The sequence below is a fragment of the Homo sapiens genome, chromosome 3 (assembly GCF_000001405.40).
Source record: "Homo sapiens chromosome 3, GRCh38.p14 Primary Assembly".
Classification (NCBI taxonomy): domain Eukaryota; kingdom Metazoa; phylum Chordata; class Mammalia; order Primates; family Hominidae; genus Homo; species Homo sapiens.
In genome coordinates, this window is record NC_000003.12 from 150,863,841 (window position 1) to 150,890,566 (window position 26,726).

The following is a 26,726-nucleotide window of genomic DNA, read 5'->3' on the forward strand; positions in this document are numbered from 1 at the left end:
TTTGACGTCCTTAATTTTTAGGTGCATAAAGGGGTCCTGAGATAAAAAAGTTTAAGAACCACTAGACTAGTGGATAGTTAGGTATTTAACACATAAGCATACAAATAAGGATGTAATTGTAAACCTGGGTGTATTAGTCCATTTTCATACTACTATGAAGAAATACCTGAGTCTGAGTAATTTATAAAGAAAAAGAGGTATAATGGATTCAGTTACACGTGTCTGAGGAGGTCTCACAATCATGGCATAAGGCAAAGGAGGGGAAATGACACATCTTATGTGGTGGTAGCAGGCAAGACAGCGTGTGCAGAAGTGCCCTTTGTAAAACCATCAGATTGGCTGGGTGCATTGGCTCATGCCTGTAATCCCAGCACTTTGGGAGACCGAGGCAGGCAGATCACTTGAGGTCAGGAGTTCGAGACCAGCCTGACCAACATGGAGAAACCCCAACTCAACTAAAAATACAAACTTAGCCGGGTGTGGTGGCACATGCCTGTAATCCCAGCTACTCAGGAGGCTGAGGCAGGAGAATCGCTTGAACCCGGGAGGCAGAGGTTGCCGTGAGCCAAGATCATGCCTTTGCACTCCAGCCTGGGAAACAAGAGTGAAACTCCATCTCAAAAAATAAACCAAAAAAACCATCAGATTTTGTGAGACTTATTCACTATCACGAGAACAGCATGGGAAAACCCACCCCCATGATTCAATTACCTCCCGCCGGGTCCCTCCCACAACATGTGGGGATTATGGGAGCTATAATTCATGATGAGATTTGGGTGGGGACACAGCCAAACCATAACACTCAATGAGTGATATAAAGGAAAAGAACAAGGTGCTAAGAGAGATGAACCAGGAGACCTAATTTAGATGGGGGATGGTGTCAGAGATGGTGCTACTAAAGAAGTGGTTTTTAAGCTGTTCTGAAGCAGGAGATGGGGGTAAAGATTGTTGTGGGCAGTGGGAACAGCAGGAAAAAGCCCCCGAAGTGGGAACAAGCTTGGTTTGGGTGGAGCATGGTGGTGAGAGGAGAGTGGCATGAGAGGAGTCTGGCAGGATATGAAGCAGGGGCTAAACCTTGCAGGCTCTTGTAAATCATGTGAAGATTTTGGCATTTTTGTCCTAAGTGCATAGAAATGATCATAATATGGATTACTCTAACATAATTCATCAGGCTTGAATTTTTTAAAGATAATCAAGATTCAATTTTTTTTTTAAAAGATAATTGATTGCTGTGTGGTGCTGTGTGGAAAAGGGATTGGAAGGGGACAAGAGAGAAGGTGAGGAGAGCAGTCGGACGGCTATTGTAATAGTCCAGGTGAGAGATAGTGGTACCTGTATCATGGAGACAGCAGTGCAAATGGAGCTATTTCAGAGCTATTAATACCACTTACAGGTTTTGCTGCTGCATTGGAGTGGAAGAGGGGATGACTCCTAGGTCAGAGCAATCCTATACACTATGCTTAGTGACACCAATCCTAAGTATCACCAAAACTAAATACCCATTACATCAATCTGTATAAATATTTTAGGTTTGTAGGCGTGTGTGCCTATATATATGCATGTGATTAAATTGCCCACGTTTACTTTTAGTTATGTGGTTATGAAATTTAAAAAGTCACTCTCATAGCACCACCTTGTGGACAGTAATAAAAAGTGTGTGTGTGTGTGTGTGTGTGTGTGTGTGTGTGCGCGCGCGCGCACGCGCGCACGCATTGTTGGATTCAATCACTAGGAGAAAACACAATACAAGTTCTCCAGAAAGTTTACCAGTTATCAGCCACCCCAAGTCCTTCTTGGAAGGAGAGGGGATAGGAATACATTCGGAAGAGTTAAAGTTAAACTGGCTATTCTGAAAATAACAGGTTAAATTCATTCAGACTAGATCCTCTCTGGTTGATTTTAACATAGTCATTGACTAAAAGTATCATTTATTCAGATAGCCCCTGACAACCCATAATAATACTTTTTGTTTTTTTGCCGAAATATGTTTTTTTCAGTGCATTTACCACTTATCTTCATCAGATTACGGGAAGCATTTTTGTATAAATATCAAGCCTGATGGAAATGGATTTATCTTAATTCCTCACTTAAGTTCCGAACTCACCTAGAATTGCATCCTCTGAGACTGGGCTTTTCTTTTTTCTTTTTTTTTTTTTTTCCGAGACGGAGTCTCACTCTGTCGCCCAGGCTGGAGTGCAGTGGTGCGTTCTGGGCTCACTGCAACCTCCGCCTCCCGGGTTCAAGCAATTCTCTGCCTCAGCCTCCCGAGTAGCTGGGATTACAGGTGCCCACCACCACGCCTGGCTAATTTTTGTATTTTTAGCAGATACGGGGTTTCACCATCTTGGCCAGGCTGGTCTGGAACTCCTGACCTCATGATCCACCCGCCTCAGCCTCCCAAAGTGCTGGGATTACAGGTGTGAGCCACTGCGCCCAGCCCTTCTTTTTCCCTTTTTTTTTTTTTTTTGAGACTGGGCTTTTCTTGCCGCCATCTTGAATCTGATTTGGTTTTCTCTGTTGCGCTTTTTTGCTGGCGTCATTTTCCTCACACCTTAGCTCATCATTCTATCCTGTTCTATTGCTCTGGGCTTCTCAGGAGACCTCTTTCCTTCACAAGACTGGCTTCTCCAGGTGTTAGAAAGTGTCTCTACATGTGAAGCAGATCCCTCTCTTAATTTCCCAAACAAAGCACAGGGAATATCAGGCTAGAATGTTTAACATCTTAATTTAAACACAAAGGAATTACAATGCAGGAAAACCTAAAATGTTACTTCTCCTGATCGTGTCTCTGCTTTAAGAAGCCCCTTGGACTTCTGACAACTTGCCGTTCTCTGTCACTTGGCTGTGTTCCCTAAATGTTGGTCCAGGCCCTGTGCAAGGCTCCCAGCTCTGGCAGCAGCATTAGGGTGGGGAGAGCCTTTCTTCCCTCTCCTTAGGCGTCCTCCTTCCTGTTCCCACGATGATTGATGGAAGAAATGCCTGCCCTTACCTACAGGGCATGGTTTCTAGACACAGTTCAATTCTCATTTTTCTCCTCTGTCTCTGGCTATTTCTTCTGCGCCTGCTTTCCAGGCTCTTCGCACACTGCCTGACTGCTGACACGAGAATTCCTAAGGGCTCAGCATTAGGCCCAGCTATCTTCTTGCTTCATACTCTCCTTGGGCAGTCTTACCCCAGGCCACCATGTTACTTACCCTTAGTGACTCCCAGGTGTATTTATTTCTCTGGTCCAAACCTCTCCATTGATTTCCAGATCCTTATTTCTGATCCATTAATCTACCTTTCCACTTGAATGTTTCATGTCTAAGACTAGATGTGTGATTTCTTGCCCTCAAAATCTGGTATGTTTTGAGTGTTTCCAAGTTCTGTGAAGGTACAACCTTCCATCCAGTTATCAAATCAGAAACCTAGAAGTCATCCTTGATCCTTCTTTCTTTCTTCCTCATCTCCCTCCCCATGCAACCTATTTCAGCCTTCTCCATTTTACCTACCAAGAGGTGTCTCCTGAGAGGCCCACTTCAGTCTACTTTAATTGCCTCCATTCTGTTCTGACCATCTCTTGTCCACACCACTGCCTAACTAACTAGTCTCCGCATGCCTAACTGGTCTCTGCATGCACTTGGGGCTCTCTCCAATCCATGTTCTACTCTGAGGCATGTGTTCAAAATGCAAATCTTACCAGGCCACTTAAAACCTTTCCAAGGTTTCTCACACCTTATAGTCTACACTGCCTTGCGGTGGCCCCACCTTTTGCTCCAGCTGCTTCACAACCACTCTTTAGCCCCACAGGCTTTTCTGTTCCTCAGGCGCATTCACCACAGGGCTTCACATCTGCTTGCCCTTCTTCCCCTTACCCTGTTATCTCTATGCAGCCTTCTTACTTCAGCTAACCATCTCTTCCTCAGACATGCCTTTTCCTTTTCTTTCAGTTCTTTATTATAAGATTGACGCACCCAAAATCTCTTCCCTTAGTTTTCAAGTTTATCTTTATTAAAGTGCTTTTTGATTAATTGCCATCTCCTCAGAAGAGCCTAAGTTTCATAAGAAAAGAGGGTGTGCCACATCTGATTTTGCTCGCTGTGCTGATTTTCCCCAGCATCAAGCATAGTGCCTGGCACATAGGGCATGTTAAAAAACATTGAATGGCCAGGCATGGTAGCTCATGCCTGAATCCCAGCACTTCGGGAGGCCAAGCGGGCAGATCACTTGAGGTCATGAGTTAAAGACCAGCCTGGCCAACATGGTGAAACCCAATTTCTACCAAAAAATACAAACAAATTAGCCAGAGTGGTTGTGTGCACCTGTAGTCCCAGCTACTTGGGAGGCTGAGGCACAAGAATCGCTTGAACCCGGGAGGTGGAGGTTACAGTGAGCCAAGGTCACACCAGTGCACTCCAGCCTGGGCGACAGAGTGAGACTCCATCTCAAAAATAAAAATAAAAATAAAATAAAAAACATTGAATGAATGAATGAATGAATGATTATGTCTCTAAGGCCCTGACAAGGGAATTACAACCATTAACAGAAAATGCAGGCCCAGGTGTGGCTGAAGAGTGCCCACAGCCTGGACAGCTCAGGTCCAGTCTCAGCCAGTTGCTATTCAGGGTTATTTCCACAGTGTGAAGTGAAGGGAATCTTAGGCCTCCCCCAACCTGGCCTGCTCCTACGGGTCTTGTGACATTGGTGAGAATGTTCTTGGAAAAATGATTCACACATCTTGTCTAAGAGCAAACAATAATTCGGGGGAATGTTCCAGTCTAAGTTGATATTTGAAAGAGGAAAATAGTTGCCATCGCCTCAAGGGTTCATTCCCACTAAAGACACAGTCAGTTTAGATGACTAGTCAGAAAAATTAATATCCCCGTCTTCAAGCAAACAGCTTTCTTCTGCTTTGTATTTGAGAAGCTGAAAAAAAAGTCATTTTTCTCAAAACAAAGTTTAAAAGTGAACTAATGGCTCTGAGAAACTTCCAGTTATTTTTATTTTTTTATTTTATTTTATTTTATTTTTTTTGAGACGGAGTCTCGCTGTCGCCCAGGTTGGAGTGCAGTGGCGTGATCTCGGCTCACTGCAGGCTCCGCCTCCTGGGTTCACGCCATTCTCCTGCCTCAGCCTTTTGAGTAACTGGGACTACAGGTGCCCGCCACCTCGCCTGGCTAATTTTTTGTATTTTTAGTAGAGATGGGGTTTCACCGTGTTAGCCAGGATGGTCTCGATCTCCTGACCTCGTGATCCGCCCACCTCGGCCTTCCAAAGTGCTGGGATTACAGGCGTGAGCCACCGCGCCCAGCCACTTCCAGTTATTTTTAAATAACATGTCTCCACTCTGAAGAAAAAAATCAAGTATTACCGGGTACCCTGTTTATAAGATAAAATAACTTATTTTCACTGAACATTGATATACAAAGTAATTAATAGTTTTATATATCAAAATTATACTTTTACATCTAAAACGTAGGTACTTAATCTTTCCTCCATTATTTTACTTATTTATAGACTTGTTCCAGGAATAATTTAACCCAAATTACAATACCATATAAAATATGGCAAACTAACATAAATTATAAACAAATTAAAAATTCAAAGGAGGAATAAGGGAAGGAACATAAAATGGATACAAGAATGAGGTCAATTTAAAAGTTGGCTTTTGTAAGGACCGATACACTACCCGACAGTCATCCTGCTTTTCTTCCTTCTACAAAACCCTGATTTTGTTCTAATATCAAGTGCCCTGTTCTCAGACTCAGAGGATGAACCATGATGATCTGAGTCATGGATCCCCTAGCTAGACAGCTCTTGTTAAAAGGAATATCTTTATTGTTTGCGACTTTTCGTGAGATCTCTTACTTGCAGCTGAGCAGTTCCTTACTAATGCACTGGTGTGTTTTTTAATTCAGCTCTAAGCAGTCAACTCCAAAAGAGACATTCAGTAAGAAACAATGTAGTGTCCATAAAACAAAAAACAGGCCCGCACCTCAGGAAAAGCACAATGTAAGTAAGATTAAGACCACATAAGCCCAAAGTCTGTAGGGATCCACTTATTTGTCCAGTGTATTTAAAATCCCCAGTGAAAACACCAATGATAAAGATACTATAATCCGCAATTCAAGCCTAATTGCCTTTCTCTTCTGACATAATTTATTATTCACCTTGAAGTTTCATTTCCTACATGGTCCTTAAGTTAAAACATTATTCTTTGAGCCAAATGCAAATGCATTTAATAAATGAATTTGAATGAATGCAGAAAGATTGTTCTTTGGAAACTAACCTTGGGATTGTGAATACAGTGCCCTAAGTCTGTGAGGTGGCAGATTAGCGGGGTGGCTGGCGGTGTCTACATTATTCTCGTGTACTTCTTTTAGAAGGAATATGTGTTTACTCTGTGTATCTCTTCAGAAAGAACATAGGCATTTAACAGGACAGGGAAAGAGTATATTCTAAAAAGAATTGTTTTCCCCTTTGAATAATGACACAAGAGATTTTATTTTTATATATAATTTTATGTAGAAATCAGAATTTTTCTCAGTTTGTCTGTTTGTGTATTTATATCCAGCATTGAAGAAAAGAAACAAACATACTGCTAATAAAAAGAATGTCTCCTTGTGGCTACTGAAACCCACATGTCAACTGCTATAGCTGTCAGCCTACCAGGAATAACCCCTGCTTCAAACCCCAAGAAGCCCATTTACTATTTTAATGACAAGAACTTGCTAATGTGGGCATATGAACTGTATCCTTGGAAAGGAATGCCGTCCATACCAGGAAGTCCTTGAGAAGGCTTGAGTTCTTGCCATAACTAAAAATCCGATGATGCATTACCAATGACTTCATCCCCAAATGAAAGCTAGCAGCCTGCTTCCGTAATCCTCATGGAGAGTTATACCAAGAAAAGACAACTTTGGAAAAACATGCAAGAGAGAGGCTTCATTTTCTCTTTTGAATAAAAGAAAGAAACCAGTCTATGTGACTACGGAGGAGGCACCATGCAGGCCCTGGTGTGGGGGCCTGTGTTTCTCCTACAATGCTGACAGCTAGGGATTTACCAGAGACTTAAAAAATGAAAAAACTGCTAATGGTATATATATATATTTTTTGGTGGGGCTTGTGAATGAGAAATATGGAAACGATTGGTCTCCCCCACATTAGGCTTTTGCATCCCAGCAGTTCTGACACTTCAGACTTCATTGCACAGCCTAGTTTCCCTTTAGAAGAAGGGAACGGTCCCATTCCAGTTGATGGTGGCCTCGCTCCACTTGGTTCTGATTGCCATCTCCACTGGTGAAAACCGTCGTCTTGGTCCATGTTTCTCTTCCTGTTGGTCTCTTTCCCAGTGATGGGAGTGAGTATCTGAAGAAGGAATAGCCAGCATTTAGACCCAAGCCTATGAACACCATTCCAGAGGAAACCACTAAAGAAGGACAGAAGGGTGGGTGGGCAGGAGTCAGGCTTGGAAAATTGTGCTCCTACAACTGGTTAAGCAGATGGGGATTCAAGCAGGTAGTGTGTTGAAATGCCCCATACAGAATGAGTCAGTGGTAGCCTGGGTTGTTGTGCATATTAGGACGTAGTATGTGTGTTGAAACGCCCCATACAGAATGAGTCAGTGGTAACCTGGGTTGTTGTGCATAACTGTTGATAAGCTATGTAATACACCTTCCCGTACCATGATGTGACACCTAGAACCAGGTATAGGTTACTAAATATTGTCAGGAAAAAAAAAAAAAGAGGCCAGGCATGGTGGCTCACGCCTATGGTCCCAGTACTTTGGGGGGCTGAGGCAGGTGGATCATCTGAGGTCGGGAGTTCGAGACCAGCCTGGCCAGCATGGTGAAACCCTGTCTCTACTAAAAATACAGAAAATTAGCTGTGTGTGGTGGCGCGCGCCTGTAATCCCAGCAGGAGGCTGAAGCACAAGAATCACTTGAACCTGGGAGGTGGAATTTGCAGTAAGCCAGGATCACGCCACTGCACTCCAGCCTGGGCGACAGAGTGAGACTCCATCTCCAACCAACCAACCAACCGACCCCACTTCTCCATGCTTCTCAGAATACATTTGCATTTTTGGATGGAGGGCAAGGCTTTCTAGTGGGGTAAGCAAGAACTGGGTTTGGGGCTTGAGTTTATCTCATATTAGCCAGGTGACACTTAAGAAGGTACTTAGCATCTATTGCTAAACTTCATTTATTCAATTAGTAACTACTTGTTGGACACCATAGTTTCCACTTCATAAAAACAGAAATCCTAGTACTTACCTCATGTGACTATTGGGAATGTTACGGGTTAATGCCTGTGAGGCTTTCAACACAATGCCCAGAACAGAAAGCAAATGATTCTTGTGAGCTAATGAAAAATGTTGCTTTATGCAAAGAAGGAAGTTGAGGTAGAAACAACAATATATTTTAAGGAACATATTGTCAATGTTATACTAAATTAAGTGGGTTAAGATGTATTTCTCATAATTAAAGAAAAAGAATTAGGAGCTGCACAAATAAAATAGTCACTAGATGCTTTTCCACATGTAATAATGGAAGATTACTTAATGCCAGGCTTGTGGTGCAAAGTCAGACACAGTAATGCTCCATAAATACAGCTAAGGCTATGGATACAAACTCCCAGTTTGTCCAGTGTTAATACCTCGTCCGGGGGTCAATGTTTAAAGACATTTTAAGGTTGGTCTTTTTCCCTCAGGAGTTTATGACCGAAATGATCTGTTCGGTTGTCTGCTTCTCCTGTTGGATTTGAACCATGTTTGTGGAACTTTTTGGAATAAAAGAAACCAGTCTGTGTGACTACAGAGGAGCCACCAGGCAGACCTGTGCCGCATTCACCAGTTTTCCCAGTGTCTAGCCCCATGCCTGGCACAGAGTAGGCCCTCAAAAATGCGTTTTGTGCTCATTTGAACAGAAATTTACTATCAGTTTGGTTACTTATGTCACTGGATGATCATCTGATGTTTGGTTGTGAGATAGCATCAGCCAATTCTTCCCTGGGTTTTCCCAATTATTTCCTCAGGTATTAGCTACCTCATGCTCCAAAATCAAAGGCCCCGGAGAATGGTTTTTGGAAATTTGGCTCCATAACTTTTGTTTTTCTCTTACCTGAAAGTTATTGGTTCTTCTCTGCTATTTCTAACCCCCCTGCTCCTAGGTAAAGCAGATTTCAAATTCCCACATTGCAATACTTGGGTTTAGGGCCATGGGATTCATGTGTGGGTTTCATTTCAGAAACTGAGCCTAAGCATTTTCCTGTGGAGCTAGCATGAATATCCACACAGTTGTTAAACATTGGCAACCGCATCTCTTTGAGCACATTAAAATCCACAACACCTGGAGTCTGAAATGCTCACCTATTGTAAGACGCACAAGCTTTTTCTGTGAGGGTTGGCCACTGTAAAAGTACAGATCAAAGAGACGTTCCATTTTCCAGTCTGATAAGAGCTGCCTGTTTGTGCAAAAAAGGATGCTGTAATTTCCATTGATGTTGCACAGCCAAATAGGTAATTTGGGAGTCTTCAGCATGCTGCCCACCTGGAAAGGGGAAGGGGAATGCAGATAAATATATAGATTTTGCCACATTGTGACACATGCCGATACATGATCGCGACCAAAAAGCAGCTCTGAGGTTTCTTGTTGCACTTGTCGCGTGCAGGGCACTGTACATAGAGCAAGATTTGAAATCAAGGCTTCGTCATGAATAAATTTGCATTTATGAATGATCTGGTATAGTGGTGCTGCCATTTTTATCTTAATGGATTATATTAAAATTTTTTTGGTGGCCTCACAGAGGAGGCAAAACAACTTCAGTTTGGCTTTGAGGCGAAGTGAAGAATAAATATATAAACTAAAATAGGAATGTAGTGGTGGAATAAGAGAACTCTAATTCTGTGTTTGTCACTGACTAGCATATCTGCTCCCATTCCCAAGATAAGGCAATAATTCATTCAGCAGGTGGTGGTAAGACTTCTGGCAACATCAACTATTTAGAATATAGAAAAAATGATATTTAAGATATATAAAATAGCTTCTGGAAAATGAGGGAAACACATACACACATCACACATATACACATATATCTACAGGTTAACATGATCATTTGTGAAGATGTTCCTAGACAGCAGCTTGTTATCGGTTTTTTTCTAAGTACTTGTCAATCAATTTAGCCTTGATTTTTTTTTTTTTTTTTTTTTTTTTTTAAAGACAGGATCTTGCTCTGTCATCCAGGCTATAATGCAGTGGTGTGATCTCGGCTCACTGCAGCCTTGACTCCCTGGGCTCAAGTGATCCTCCCGCCTCAGCCCCTGGATTAGCTGGGACTACAGGTGGACACCATCATGCCCGACTAATTTTTGTGTTTTTTGTAGAGACAGCGTCTTGCCATGTGGCCCAGGCTGGTCTCAAACTCCTGAACACAAGCAATCTACCTGCCTTGGCCTCCCAACTATTGGAATTACTGTACCTGGCCTGGCCTTGAATTCTTATAGCTAGTGAATGAGATTTGCAAAAACCAGCACTGGGGGTAAGAGCAGGGAAGGGGATGTAGTAAAAGGGCAGTGGTCCTGCAAACTTCTAGTGCGTTTCTATCAGTGATAGCCATCAGTTTGTTTACACAGGCAGGGAAGCACATATTTTTAAAGGCTTTCCATCAAAATTTATTGAAACTGTTTTTAAAAATTTGTTAAATTTATTTCAACTTAAAGAGATAAACATATATATCTACATGGACAAACCCATGATTTCCATGTGACGCCAAGGAGAATTCCTGGGCCCCTTAGCTTGGCCTTTCTTCCTGTAACTGAAGAGACCAATGTTGCCATTCTATTTCTTTTCTTCTCAGTCCTCAGAGTTGTACTGTTTGTTCAGGAACAAATTCTATTTTGTGGAAATCCAGCTTTGAAAAATTATCACGTGCTTTATCAACCCAAGTATTAAAGGCTAATAACTTGACATTTTGATTTCTCAATAACTCTATTCAAATCTTTTTGTTTCCTTGAGTTTAAATTCTTCAGCTGTGGGTGAGTGGGTGAATCAGAGATGCTTTTGTCTGTAAGTGTTTCACTTTTAGCTACCACAGAAAAATTATATTGCTATGCTGAAAAGAAATGACCTCAGCTGGTAGTTTACAAAAAGTGGAAACCTAGCACCCCAATCAGGACATGTTCATAATGGGGGCAGGATTTACTCATCTGCATAGTAGGTACAGGATTTGTTGGAGTTATCTCCTCTGGGCTGAATATATTGTGAGCATTTCACATATCAAACACAGGGCCAGTCTGCCCACTGGTTACATCAGAAATAAAACAGTGAAGATGTACCATTGAAGCAGTAGCATATGTTTTAGTTCCAGATATCCACCACCAATTTCCAAGTAACTTTGTAACTATTCATTAGTTATAAAATAAGCACTTTCTTTCTTAGGCCTTCTTGCTATGGCACCCTTCTGTATTAAGATGATATGTAATCAAAATATGTTATACAGGAAGTCATGGAATTATCAAGGTTGAAAAACTTGAATAAAACTAGGAGATTGAGAGCTGTTTGTAGTAAAAGGTAATTCCATTGGAACTTCAAATGGACATTCTGGTCAGTTTTAATCTAGTGATATTCCCTGTAAATTAGTCTGGGTAGGTGTAATAGAATATACACATATATGATATTGTTTCACAGAATATTTGTAATGTAGGTGAAATTCACTTGGCACTCAGATAAACATACTCTGCCAGGTGCTGACTGACACACTATTGTTGCTTTATGCAGCAATACAACAGTTTTCTTTCCTGAGCTCAAAGCTACTCAAGATTTTGTTCTAGTAGGAAGAAAATGAAGTAGTCAAAATGCAACCACCTTCAACCCTCCAAAAGTGGCCTTACAGAGCTCTCATAGTGAGCAAGCAGAACCTTGCTTGCCCTGAGAGATTCTGATGAAACGGGAAATGTCATGCATGACTGTTGCTGCACTTTGAGTATTAAGAGGCGAGCCTTAAGATTACAGTTGAGAACACATCTGGTTTAAAGTGAGTCCTGCAAAAAACAAAACAAAGCACCTTCCAACTGAATCCAGCCAGAGATTACATCCCCCTTTCTTCTTGGCACACCATATAAGCAGTTTGACTGGCATTTTTTGTTTTAAGCATTTGTATTGCTTTTGGATAAAAACAGTTTACCAGCTACTCCCCAAAAGCAGGATTCTAAATATGTTTTATTGGTGAGATTCCATCAATGCTGAATTTGTGCATGTTGCTTCATGTTGCCATGGTAAAAAGGAAATTAAATTGTGATACAGTGGTGCTATAAATAAAATACCTTTCTCCTTAAGTTCACTCATTGTGTAATCAGCCCAGTATTTTCAGCATCACATGCAGCAATCAGGCTTTTCATAACACATATCATTTAAGCCAATGTAAAATTACAAGGACAGCAAGGAAGATGGACAAATTCTACACATCAGAGTGCAAGAATTGAGTCCATGTAATTCTTTTTTTTTATGCTGTCTAGAACAATGGCGCTTAGAACATGCCTTTGTATAATAAGCATGATATTGCAAGTCCCAAGGCCCCAGGCTGGTAATCTGAACAGGAGAAAGGTGTTTGAAACGTTGTGCTTTCTTCACTGATTCCTGGTGACAATTCCTGTGCATAACTGTTAATGGCCTGGCTCTCATCTCTGCCATCTGGAATACATACTTGATGTAACTTTTCTCACTGAGTTTGCAGGTATGTTGTAAAGACAAATTAGTTCATGTTTGCAGGGCGCTACCTCAGTGACTTAGTGGCAGGGTGCAGTGGGTACTGCTTCACTGGGTACTTCTATGGTTGGATTTCTTCCTATCAGACTCTCTAAAGGGAAAACGTAAAGGGGGAAGAAGGTATGACTGGGATAGTGATGTGTGCTGCCAGGGCTGCCGTAGGAGTAATTCTGGCAAGACCTAAATGGCTTCAGTCCCTGAAAAATCAGAGTGGATTTTTCTTCTCAGTGGCAGGTGTGAAGATAATGTGAACCTCCCAAGGCTTTCCAGATGGTGTTAGACTCAAACTGCTTTATGTTCTCACTTAGGTATTGGAACCTCACACTCAAATCTGTACCTTCAAATAGAAAAGTGACAGGGAGGCTTCAAAATAGTGCCTCATCTTATGGGTAGCTGGCTGCGTTCTGCAGGAACCATCAGTCTGGTGGGCTCTGGGGGGCTTGTCATGTCATCTAATGAGAATACCATCTTTTTTTTTTAAAGTCTCACCCACTGGGCTGTGACATTGGGACTGAAAGGCACATGTTTTTGCAATCTCTGCAATTTTATCGCAGAGTAATAAGAGATTTACTTAGAGAAGACGGAGGCAGCATTACAGGATGGGTTTCACCTTGACAGCAGAATCTACCTGTCAGGCAGCACGTTGGTTTTCTTCTGAACTAAGAAATCTTTCTTATATTAGGTTTTTATCATCAGTACATAAAAATAACCTTCAGATTTGTTGCACCTACCATAGGCAGGAGCTACTAAATATCCACAAAGCACTTGTATACCTAGTTGGCATTTTCACGGGTCTCATACAGAATCAGAAAGGAAAGGTAGTGGCTGCAGGGGTCTCCAATCCGGTCATACTTAGAGCACTGTCCCAGAAGCACATCATGTTCTTTCTTGAGTAAACTTCTGTTCTGCACTGTGTTTCAGTTCTATGCAGGATGTTGTGAAATATTAGACTTCTGGGGATAATACAGTCAAATGGTCTTCTGGTTAGCATGTCTCTAAGCACCACTGAGCTTGGTCTCCTAGGGCTAAGGATTTCCATACACCCGACAAGTGTGATTTGCCAAACCAGGAGGTAAAGTGGAGGCAGTTCACCATCAACACAAGCTCACACCACTCTAACCTAGAAGTCAGTGGATAGAGTTTCAGCTTGTTGAGCACAACTGTCATGCTGTGATTTGCTACCATTTAAATGTTACCAACACGAGTATACCTATAACAGATATTATAGACCATATATCTATATATAGATATAATAGATGATAAAAGTACTGATGATAGAGTATAATTCTAAGAACTGGCATTTCTATATTTATCACCTTCTCAGAAAATAATCAAAGATGATAATGGCAGGCAGCATGGTCCAGTGGACAGAATGTGATCATTGAATGTAGATAGAACTCGGTTCATATCCCTGGCTCTGACACTTGCCTAGCTGCTAGCTTTGGGTAAGTCCCCATACCTTTCTTATCTCTAAAATGAATGACCAAGCAATAGACCTTGGGCTTAAAGTAATACTGATTACAACTTGGAGTGGACGTGGGGATTCAATAAATAAATGAAATGACCCAGAAAGGGCCAGGCACACAATAGGTGCTATATGCACAAGGTTATTAGCACAATGAATAAATAAATTTCATATATACTTGAATATAAATATACTTAAGCATATAAGTATAAATAAACTTGACTATAAATATGCTTCATACATATTTCCTGTATAATGAGCTGATATGAAAAAGCACCTTCAGGTAAAATCACCTTGATACGTATGTTTCTAACATATTCATACATGCCAGGGGTTCAAGTAAGAAAACTAACTGCCAGCCTGTATTTGCTCTTTAATACCTTTTTTTAAAACCAAACTTCAAATGCATGACAGAGACAACATAATAAACATCCTCAGGGTTTCAAGCCATTAGTGTACAATTTCAGGCAATTTTCACTGAGGGCAGAATTCATAGGTATCTCTCTGGGGAGAGAACACTGAGTCCAAGAAAGAAGAATGAAAAGCCACATTAGTCACTTTTCAAAAAGATGGAAGCATTATAGATCTAATTTCTATGTAGATTTTAAAGCTAGCCTGGGCAGTTTCCATCCTTTGCCCCACTTCCAGTTTGTGAGCAGGCATTTGGGTGATGGTCCTGTGGTCTGGTATGTTTTGCCCTCTTCCCAGCAGGAAAGCTCTTATTTTTTTACCTTGTGCTGTGGCCTCTTGACTGACTTTAAGGTCCCAGTAAAAATCCACTTTATCATTGGTGGATATTTTAGGCTTTGCAGGTAATTTTCTTTAGAGCATGATTTAGCAGTTCTATTGGTCTGAGCAGACTTGTGTAGAAAGAAATGTGATCCAGAAAAAACAGCAGTGCTGGATCCCTGTGAATTCTTGACTCTGTTTCTGTGGTGGCATATTCTTTGATATAGTCCCTTTTCTCACAACAACTTAGTAGCTATTTCACAAACAGCTGTTTAATTTTAACTTAAGATAAAGCCTGCAACTTGTTTCCAAAGCCTTGCAACTGTTAAAAACGAACCGAAAGCTGTCAACCTTTCTAATACTGATTGAAAGAAGATATACTCTTTCTTGTAAGTTCAGTTGAAATAGCTAGTTGGCCAATTCTGCACACCATGGATTTAATCAGCTAAGCCTAAAGAGATTTTTTTTCTCCTTCCTCTAAAGCAGAGGTTCTCAACTAGGGTCAATTTTGCTCCCCAGGGGAGCATTTTTAAATGTCTGGAGACATTTTTATTGCCACACTGGGGCCAGTGCTGCTGGCATCTAGTGAGCAGAGGCCAGGAATGCTGCTCAATAGCCTGCAGTGGACAGGACAGCCCTCCACAGCAAACAATTAACCACTTCAAAATTTCAGTGCTGCAGAGGTTGAGAAGTCCTGCTCTGGAACAGAGGTTTCTAATCCTGGTTGCACTTTAGAATCATCTATGGGCTTTAAAAACTTCAGTTGCCCAGATGCTTCCCAGACCAAATGAAGCAGTCTTTGGGTAGTGTTGGCTACGTAATTTGTGGGGCCCAGTGCAAAATGAAAATGTGGGGGCCCTCGTTCAAACATTAACAATTTCAAGACAGTGATACCAGACACTAGAGCATTAAACAAAGTATAGGGCCTTCCAAGTGTGGGGTCCTGTTTGACTACACATGCTTATAAAGCTAACTCTGTTCTGGGGGATGACCTGGGCATTGATAGTTGTAAAAGATCTCCAGGTGACTTCAATGTGCAGTCAGGGTTGACATCACTGCTCTCTAGCATTTATTGCCTGTATCCTTCCTGTAGAAATCAGTGTATGTATGGTCAAGTATGGCCCATCTTTGGATCTGGACACAGAGCCTCCCAATTAGTATTCAGTTAGCATTTAGCTGTGCTGAATGAACATAGCTGAATAAAGCACTATAACATTATGCCTTGTTATCTTCTATTATAAAGTCTTATATGTCTATAGAATATTCTGGCCTTCCAATGAGCTTCAACATCCATGATTTCCTCTGCTCTTCACGTCAATCCTTAATCTGATCAGGTTGCAGGGCAGGCACATGTGGAATGAATGCACCTGTGTTGTAAGTGAGGAAACAGGCTCAGAGAGGGTAAAACTGGTACAAGTCACACACCTGTGAGTGGCATGGTAAGGCCTCCAGCCAAGCCTGCCGATTTCCAGGCCAGGGTTATTTTGCACATGCTACAGGAACTTCCTCACCTTTATGCCAGGTTCCCATCTGTGTGTGTGTGTGTGTGTGTGTGTGTGTGTGTGTGGATGCGCACACGCGCCCATTGGTGGCATGTGGCATGAAAGTGGATGGTACAAGGAGACTTCTACACAAGCAGACTTGTGTAGGAGAAGAAGTGGATGGCACAAAAAACAAATGTTTAATTAAATATGTATTAGGAAAAAAAATCAGCACATCAAGCCCATGGCATCTATTTCTGCTGCAGAAAAGGTTAGAACCACATTTTAAGTGAGTTGTTTGAAAGAAAAACATTAAGCAAATAATAGTAGTGGTAGCACAGAGACATGAAAAAGCTTCTGAATTACCTACTCAGATGACTGAAATATGAGAAACGCTGTTTTAAGTCTTTCTAGTTTATAGCGAGGATCCAGTGAAATAATCTTATGAAAGAGCTTTTGTAATAACAGACAAAATACTAAAATCATTATTGCATTTTTGTGTCGTCACCACTAGAACTTGTTTCCAGTATATCACCCCATTTTCAAACCAAGTCTTGGCATATTACTGGGTTCTTATAGCTATAGAATGTTAGACCACGGACACCAAGTGACCACACGTGGTTGAAAGAAAAGAAAAATATGTAAAATGAAATCTATAAATCCTCTATTTCTGGCTTAGTTTTACTCTTCATTATATGAGTCAATTTTAAGATGAATTCCCAAATTATCTGGAAAAAGTGATTAGGAGCTTTATAACGATAAACAATTCTCTGTCCAGGCTGTATTCAAAGTATAGTCTTTCACATCCACACAATAGAACTCTTTGCAGCCTCTAAATATAATGAGAGGCCAGGCAGTGGCTCACGCCTGTAATCCCAGCACTTTGGGAGGCTGAGGTGGGTGGATAAATTGAGATCAGGAGTTTGAGACCAGCCTGGCCAAAATGGCGAAAATCCTATCTCTACTAAAAATACAAAAATTAGCTAGCCATGGTGGTGTACATCTGTAATCCCAGCTACTCGTGAGGCTGAGGCAGGAGAATCGCTTGAACCCAGGAGGCGGAGGTTGCAGTGAGCTGAGATGGCACCACTGCACTCCAGCCTGGGTGACACAGCGAACTCTGTCTCAAAAATAAATAAATAGAGGGTTATATACTCATATTTGATATTAAATGAGATATTTGTGTTAAACGAGAAAAGCAGGTTTCGGAAGAGTAGAATAAGACATATTGATATGGCTGGGCACAGTGCCTCACACACCTGTAATCCCACCACTTTGGGAGGCTGAGGCAGGAGAATTGCTTGAACCCAGGAGTTCAAGACCAGCCTGGGCAACACAGTGAGACCCCTGTCTCTGTTTAAAAAAAAAAAAAAAAAAAGACACATTGATATGAGAAAGAAAGAGTATTTCTGAAAAATGTTCCTGAAAAGATTGACCCCTGGGTAATGAAATTTGTTTTACTTTTTTACTTTTACCTTGTCTATCACTTCACATTTTTCTATGATGAACAAAGAATACAAACTCAAGGAATAACATGCAAACTTGTAAAGCACACTTGTACACAAAATATGCCAATTCTGCTATAGTCAGACACTATTTTTTTGATGGCATCAGACATATGTATGTGTTGCAAGATGCTGGTTTCATGATAACATAGTAGCTGGAGACAATAGTAGAGGGACAGATGAAGCCCTATATACATGAAAGGCGTTTTGAGTGGGAACCAGGAGGGCTGGAGGACAGGACAGATGCTGAGCAGCGAGGCCTTGTTTGCTGTTGGCATTTGGGAGAGGTGGTTGGGAGGCTTGTGGGGGTTTACATCCTCCATCAAATTGAATGACATCTGAACTGGTTTCAAGGCCATTCCAGAAAAGTGTTGTTACAGAGTCTGCCTCATCTTCCCTGGGTTTTAGGATGAAATTTTTGTGAAATATCACAGAAGCAGCTTTGATTTGTGGTTTGGGATGGGTATATTTGCTTTGTCACTCTTCTTCTGTTTGTTTTCGCAGAATCACATCTTACTTAATTCCCTGGTTGTGCTTTTCAACAGGACATTTTACTTTCTGGTTGTCAGAAGTTATAAAACCCCTGAGCTGGAAAGCTTTTTGACAGGAGTTTCAAACGTAGGGGCCCCCTTTTTTTTCCAGTGGTTTTTTTTAAGCTTTGAGCAATATGTAGGCTGTGTGCATTCATTTGCATAAATGAAGGATTGGGAGGACACCCATCAACTGCTAACAGTATTTCTGTGAAGGGGTATGTAGCCGCATGGGGATGACAGAGGACTTTTCCTTTGTGTATGTGTATGTGTGTATATATATATATATATATATATATATATTTGTCAACCTCATTAAACAGGGATATCTGTATATTTCAAATATTGCTTTAAAAATGTATGTATTACTTTTATTACCTATTTTATATACATAAAAATATGTAAAATAAAATATGAAGCAAGTAGACTGGGATATTTCCATCTGTGGAAATTTCCCTGAATGTCTGTGTGTGGCAGGAGGGAGGTACACAGGCAGACAGTAAGGGAGAAAGTAGGCTCGGGTTTGAATTGCCTAAATAGACAGACTTTTAAACTGTTAAAATATTGACATTCTGGTTGTGTGGTTGAGGACTGGAACACACTCACCTGTGAGAGTCTGTCATCTTCCGAGGCATCCTTACCCCACTGCAAATAGCCAACATCACTGCGGGTCAGGACTCCATGTAGTGTTTCCTGAGACTTTCCTTCCTCACAGCCATTGAAGACATTGGGACTTGCTCTTCCAGTTAAAATCATGTTCAGAACTGCCTAGAGAGCATATTTTACAGATACTTATATTTTAGATAGCAATGAAACAATAACTTAATTTTTTCTCTTAAAAATCATTAAAAATTATTTTTAGTGAAAAGAATGAAATCACATGATACATATTTCAGGAAAAATATGTCCTAAATATTTGGTAGATTTAAAACAATCATTTATTAGCTTTTTTTCTTAAACCTTACCCCATAACTCCCTCTGTACCCCACTCTGATCTTACTGCCCGTCCTCCTTTTACAGTTCTTTTAAACGTTGTTTTCCATGGTTGTGATTTAAGAAGCATGAAGCTAAGATGTTTTTTAGCACTTTTTTTCAGTTATTAGGGATTCCTGGTGGGTCTTGTCAAGATATTTTCTACTGTTGCTAGGATCTCAGAGATGAAAGGCTCTCGGAGGTAAACTAAGGAGGACTGTTATGAAAATTAGACGGTAGATTTTGATGCAACCCAGGGTAGTGTCTTCATACTCTTTCAAAGATAACCGGATTGCTCTTTACTTAAGGAGAGAATATATTTAATTAGAAAACAATCCAAAATTCAGATTGCTTTTCTTTTTTTCTTTTTCAAACTCTGCATGTGGCATTCAACTAATTCAGATTCTACAATAGAAAGGCAGAGTCTTCCAGCTCACCTGCCTGCACAGAAAGCCTCCAGCATTTGGTTGTAGCAGCTGAGTGGTGGTGACATCTAGGTCCATTTGAAGCCTGCAGAGTGGGAGAAGCCATCAGCATCCAGTCAGAGACAGTGCACCGGGAGCCTGCAGCTTCTTTTCCCCCAAAACACAAAGCAGCAGTAACACGGGCTCTCCTAGTCACTGTTTCTCACTTGCACTTTTCCATCTCTCACAGGGAAAGCCTCTAGATCTGGGGTTGCAGAGGTGGATGCAATTGGGGAAAGTGAGTAATAAGTGGTAGGGGAGAAGGTACAGATGTCTCAAATGTTCGAATCCCTGTGTGTGTGCTCTGGGTGGATGCTGGACTCAGTAGAGAAGCTCTTTGTTCTATGTGACAAGGAATGCACTTGGCTCAGGGTGGTGACACATGACCACACTGCAGAGTGCTGGTTCAAGGCAGATCTCAACAGATTGTCCAAATGGAAAACACGGTTGTGGCCATTTCTTGGCTGAGCCCGTTTCTTGGCTGCAGAAGGGCAGCTTCCACTGTTATGTCAGGGGCCATGGTCTCACCCTTGACAATATAAGGTCAAGGTGGAATGTGGCTCCTGCTGTCACTTAGGGGGAATTGCCGCATACTAGTATGTGAACTGTATGTGTTCTTGAACAAATCTATTCATGGAACTGGAGCTTATGTCCTTCTGTGAATGAGACTTAAAGACTTGGGTCAAGCATGGTGAGTACCGTCGTGGCATCAGATACAACTCAGGATAATGCTTCTCAAAGGGTGGTATGATAGACTTGAACATTTTAGAATTTTAATAATGTTGTATTTATTTTAATACGTTTATCTTTAGCGTGGTACATGACTTAAAGGACATTAACGTTTAGGAAGAGCTTGATATTTAAATGTGTATTGATTTTATTTTTAATGTTAAGTGAATGATAACATACAGCATAAAATGTGATGGCGGTATATAAAAGACAAGCTTCAGGACCACTGCCGCAGGGTTGTAATCCTTCCCTCCTGAGAGACCTCTATTTCTGACTCTCCAAAGTTTACCTTTCTTTCAAGGTTCAGAAGAAAGTCCATTTCTTTCCTGAAGCCTTCCCTGACCACCCTGTCAGCAGAGGCCCCTTCCTCCTCTGGAGCCCACTGAGACTCATTCTCTTTACATCTCATTTGGCACATCAGATACCTCCTGGGACTTGCCCAGCATCTCTGTGTACACCCCTTGTCTTTCCCAGCCTGGACTCTGCAGGAGGACAGGGCCATATCTTCTCTTCTTTGTACTTTCCACTGTGCCAAGAACAGAGTTTTGCATATCATAGAGACAAAATACATATTTGAGGATATACCTTATCATGGATCTAAATAATAAAATGTATTTATTTATGAAACTTGTACAAACAAGCTTTGGTGTTGTCCACCAATATTTACAGCCACAAGAAGGAGGAACCTACTAGGGTATTGTAAGAACAGATTCAAACTTGACTGACGACATCCACTTGCCCATTAAGATGGCCAAACCAACTGTAGGAAAGGACGTGTCAACAAAAGAGAATCTACTAGAAAAAAACATTGCATTCATGTTTCCAATATGGAGATTTTTCAATACAAGAGTACATTGTTTATGTGATCCCAATCCTATAGAAAATACCTGTGTAAACATCTGTAGAATTTACCTTTCAAATGTTCTAGAGAAGATCAGGCTGTACAGAAACAGGATGACACCATGGCTTCCTTCCCCTCTGAACTGTTCGGAAAAGAAAAGAAAAGCATGTTGGTCTAAAAGCAACACAGACACGTGTATCTGTGGGTATGAATTCAAGGATTTACAGGCTGAGAGAATTTTTTCCCCCTGGCTGCTGAAAGGAATGAGCTCCTCTGCCTCCATAAGTCTTCCTACTCTAAAATTTGTTCTCTTTCCCTGCTTCATGCCTGTCAATGGTGCTGTCATTCTCTTGGCCCTCACCTTATCTTTTTGTCCTGCACTTCTACCATGTGATTCTCTTCAAACCTTGGCCAAGGTGTAGTATGTCCTTTCTAGCCCACTTCACTGCTGCTCTTTGCTGCCCTTGGCTGCCCTCTCCTTATCCAGCCTCTTCTCTCCTCATGTCCTTCCTCATTGCCCCGTTAAACTGAGGGAGATCAGAGAGGCTTTGTAGAACTCGCTTTGGAGTTATACACCTCGGTTCTACTGCTTTCTAACTCCTACTTACTAACTTCTTTGAGTTTCAATCCAATCCACAATCAAGGATAAAAAGAACTTTTCTCCAGGTTTATTGCAAAAGTTAAATGAAGTAATTAATTATTTGAACCTTCCTTGGTTCTTGGAATATGCTAGATCCACAGCAAAATTAATATGTGTCCCTCTCTAATGCACTTCTCCCCTGTCTTTTCTTGGACAGGTTTCTTTTCTGCTTAGAATTTTCTGAAGGTGCCTTGCAATCTCTAGGATCAAATCTAAACTACCTAATAAACATTCAGGGCTTCTCATCAGTTGGCTTTATTTAGCTTGATGACAACACTCTACTTGCTGACAAGTAGAATAGCTTCCCTGGCTGGCTTTCTAGGTGCAGAGTTAAAACATCTTCAAAGTCTTCTTTACGGAGACTTTTGCTAAAATGCATATGCTTTTCCCTTTATGGATTAATGTATCCGTTTTGCTATGTGTGACCTGACAGGGGCCAGGGCCCTCAGGTAGCAGAATAAATTCCAGTGCCATAGGAGCCAGATAGTTACTGAAATGAGTGAGAGAAATGGGGAGGGGTGAGGCCTGATGCAAACAGATGCTTTTATATATAGGTTTCCTATTGCTGCTGTAACAAAGTGCCACAGGCTTGGTGGCTTAAAACAACACGAATTTATTATCTCACCGTTCTGGAGGTTAAAAGTCCAATATGGGTCTCACTGTGCTAAAGTCAAAGTGCTCACAAACCAGTATTCCTTCTGGAAGCTTTTGGGGTAATTCTGTTTCCTTTCCTTTTCCAGCTTCTAGAAGTCACCCTCATTCCTTGGCTAGTGGCCCCACATCACATAACCCTCCTCCCTCTGCTTCCCTGGTCACATTTCTCTGACTCTCCTGCCTCCCGCTTTCCCTTATAAAGACCCTTTTGATTAATTGAGCCCATCTGGATAATCCAGGATAATGTCCCCCACCCACTCTCAAGATCTTTAACTTGATCATCTGCAAATCCCTTCAATCAGTTAGGTAACATAACAGTAGTCTCCCTTATCCATGGGTGATAAGTTCCATTATCCAGTGGATGCCTGAAACTACAGATAGTACCAAATCCTGTATATATGATGTTTCTTCCTATATATACATACCTATGAAAAAGTTTTACATTAGGCACAGTAATAGATTAACAACAATAATAATAGTGTAGAACATTTATAGCACTATACCAGGAGCACTATTCTTGTGTTTGGGTGTCATTATTAAGTAAAATAAGGGTTACGAAACACAGGCATTGCAGTACCACAACCTGACTGTCTGATAACAGAGAAGGCTACTGAGTGACTAATGGGTATGGAGCGTCTACAGTGTGGATCCACTGGACAAAGGGATTATTCACATCCCTGGTGGGATGGAGTGAGATGGTGAGATATTCCATCACACTGCTCAGAATAGCATGCAATTTAAAATGTATGAATTGCTTATTTCTGGAATTTTCTATTTAATATTTTTGGACCATAGTTGACCAGGGTAATGGAACCAGCAGAAAGCAAAACCAAGAATAAAGAGGGACTACTGTATTAATATGTTTCTGGGATTAGGATGTGGACATCATTCAGTCTATCAAAACTTGTCTAATGAGGGTAGCTGCCTCTTATGTCAGCTAATTGAGGACATTCAAGAATATAGGCCCTGTGTAGCCAGATTTTCTGATTTTTTGATAAAAGCCAAAAATCTAGGTTTTTATGTGGAATTTCCTGAATACTTCTGACATTCACTGATTCAAATTTGTAAAAAGCAACACTGTAGGCTAATGCTGCAGATCTCATATGACAGGTGTGTTTGTTTCCTGGGGTTGCCATAAAAGATTACAGAAAATCGAAAGGTTAAAACAATAGGAATGTATTCTCTCACAGTTTGGGAAGCTAGAAGTCTGAAATCAAGGTGTAAGAGTAGGGCCATTGCCAGGCGCGGTGGCTCACGCCTGTAATCCCAGCACTTTGGGAGGTTGAGGCGGGCGGATCACGAGGTCAGGAGATCGAGACCATCCTGGCTGACATGGTGAAACCCCGTCTCTACTAAAAATACAAAAAATTAGCCAGGCGTGGTGGCGGGCGCCTGTAGTCCCAGCTACTCGGAGGCTGAGGCAGGAGAATGGCATGAACCCGGGAGGCGGAGGTTGCAGTGAGCCGAGATCGCACCACTGTACTCCAGCCCGGGAGCCGGAGCAAGATTCCGTCTCAAAAAACAAAAGAGTAGGGCCATGCTCTCTCTGAAGGCCCTCGGGGAGAATCCTTCCTTGCATATTCCTGGTTTCTGGTGGTTGCCGCCATTCCTTGGCTTGGAGAAGCATCACTCTGGTCCCAGCTTCCATTATCACATGGTGTTCTTCCATGTGTTCAAATTTTTCCTTCTCTTGTAAAAGATACCAGCCACTGGATTAGGGCCCAACCTAACTGAGTCTGGCCTCATCTCAACTTGATTACATCTAAAAGACTTTATTTTCAATAAGATCCATATTCACAGGTACCAGGGGAGGGGGTCAGAACTTCAACATATCATTTTGGAGGGACACAGTTCAACCCATAACAAAAGATCTGCTGCTCACATGGAGCCCTCAGACCTCCATCTTGAGATCTCTGCCAAATGGAATGAGACACAGGATTGATGCATTTTGATAGTTGATGGGGGATTGGTAAAGTTCTGGATGGGGTGCTGATCACAATGTGCAACCCCGTCTCAGTGAGGTCCTTGAGAGGAATATATATACACCATCAAGCTCCCCTCACTCAGGAAATGGCACCAGCCCTTCCCTAGTGTGGCTAAGGTAATGTTTAGCTCTCATGCCAAGCCCACCTGTGTTGCAGAGTCCACTTCTGTGTAGGGCCTTGATTATTCCAGCTCAACCCTTAGTCTTTGACTGGGGAAGCCTGTGTATAGCTTCAGCTCTGATCCTCTGATCTCAACCGTGGCTACGTTTAAGAATTTCTTGCAGATATGGGTGGGTGGAGGGGGTTCTTCCTATGGCATAAGACTCTCCCAGATTTGAGTTGAGATGGAAGACAGGGAGGGGAGGGGTTTGCCTGTTTTTGCTGAAAGGGTCATTTCTTAAATGGATCCTCTATATCTGTGTAATCCCATTCAATGTCTCTTGCCCACAACAAAGAATCCCTAAGCAGGCTTCTAGCTCAACATTTCACGTCAGGTACTTAAAATCTATCATACAGGTTTTACTAGGCTCATATTGCTGCTGTAACAAATTACCATAAATTTAATAGCTTAAACACTACAGATTTATGATCTTACAGTTCTAGAAGTCAGAAGTCTGAAGTGGGTTTTAATGAGCTAAAATCAAGATGTCAGCAGGGCAGCTTCCCTTCTAGCAACGCGAGAGAAGAATCTGTTTCCTAGTCCTTACCAGTTTCTAAAGGCCCTGCCCACATTCCTTGGTTCATGGCTCTTCTCTTCCATCATCGAAGCGGATCCAAGCCCGCAAGGGCAGGGGGCACTCTTCTCCTATCACTTCTCTCTGACTTCCTCTTTTGCTTCCTCTTCCATATTAATGACCCTTGTGATTCCACCGGGCCCACCTGGGTCATCCAGGATCCTTCCCCTATTTTAAAGTCAGCTGACTAACAACCTTAATATCCCTTTGCCATATAGTGTAATATATTTACAAGTTCCGGGTATAGAGTTTGGACTTCTTTAGGGGGACTAGTCCTCTGCCTATCACACAAGTTAACAACAGACCTTGTTTAACTCATTCAACAGACATGAGATCACATTTCCCTGCTCCATGCAATGAACAGTTGTATCACTTCATGGTTATCCTGCTAATTTCCCTCTGCTTTCACATTGTAGGTTTCTGATTTTTCGGAAAATCAGCTTTTATTTCTTTCTACACAGAAGAGTCTTAAAAATGTCTTCCATTTTCTACCATCACTGCACCCTTCTTTGTCCCCTTTCCACCCTGGGGGTAGGGAAGAATCACTGCAGTGGAGGGCATTGTGTGGAAGGTGCTGATAGACAGGTGAAACAGGACCTTTTCAAGAAGCCAATTACTTGGAGTCAATGTGAATGGTCATTTTGGCAGCTTAGACAAGAACCTTATTTTATTTTATTTTTTCACCATTTTGTTTTTTATTCATTAGATGAGACAGGATTGCTTGCCACAAAAGAAATACTGGTATATACTCTCTAATGGATTATTCTCTGGTCTTGATTAACCAAAGAAAAAGATGCATTCGTGAGTGGGTCTGTGTGTGATCTGGCCTCTTTCTAGGTTGTGAGGAGGAAGAGGCAGATCTTTTTTGTTCTCTCATTCTGCCCTTTCTTAGCCCTCAAAATGACCTGGTTTTCTTAACAGGCATCATTAGAAATAGACTTTGTAAAAGGAAGAAGATCCCTGTAAGATCAGTCAACATAAAGGAATTATCTCAACACTTAAACACTTACACATAGTAAGTGATCGTAGATGAATTTCTCAGCGGCTTCTTTCTCTAAAAATTCAAACAGCTGGAGCTATAAATCAGGAACAGAAGATAAAAATGAAAAGGAAGATGAAAGTTACATCTAAGAGATGTCAACTCACTGTTATTACCACAAGTGGGTTTTTTGTTTCATTGCATAATCACATTACTAAAAACTGACATACTATCTTATGCAAGGCCATGCAAAACATAAACAGTGCAACTGGGTAGCT

The 26,726-nt window shown here is 41.5% G+C and overlaps 1 protein-coding gene across 1 annotated transcript in view, besides 1 other annotated feature; it reads right to left on the bottom strand.

Annotated features, from left to right (window-relative positions):
- Positions 1–6,535: 6,535 nt before the first annotated feature.
- Positions 6,536–26,726, bottom strand: part of MINDY4B (MINDY family member 4B) — a 35,064-nt gene continuing 14,873 nt past the window's right edge. The window contains exons 7-12 of the mRNA NM_001351281.2: positions 26,480–26,545; positions 21,528–21,598; positions 19,860–19,932; positions 19,057–19,218; positions 9,347–9,527; positions 6,536–7,347 (exon numbers count right to left, since the gene is read on the bottom strand). Of these exons, the coding sequence (NP_001338210.2) occupies positions 7,205–7,347; positions 9,347–9,527; positions 19,057–19,218; positions 19,860–19,932; positions 21,528–21,598; positions 26,480–26,545 (696 nt within the window). The 3' untranslated portion in view covers positions 6,536–7,204. The remainder of the gene's footprint in view (positions 7,348–9,346; positions 9,528–19,056; positions 19,219–19,859; positions 19,933–21,527; positions 21,599–26,479; positions 26,546–26,726) is intronic.
- Positions 11,936–11,985: a silencer, noted in NCBI's record as "silent region_14820". NCBI's record gives its function as "represses an Ori minimal core promoter by ATAC-STARR-seq in GM12878 lymphoblastoid cells {active_cell/tissue: GM12878}" and the evidence as "EXISTENCE:reporter gene assay evidence [ECO:0000049][PMID:35858748]".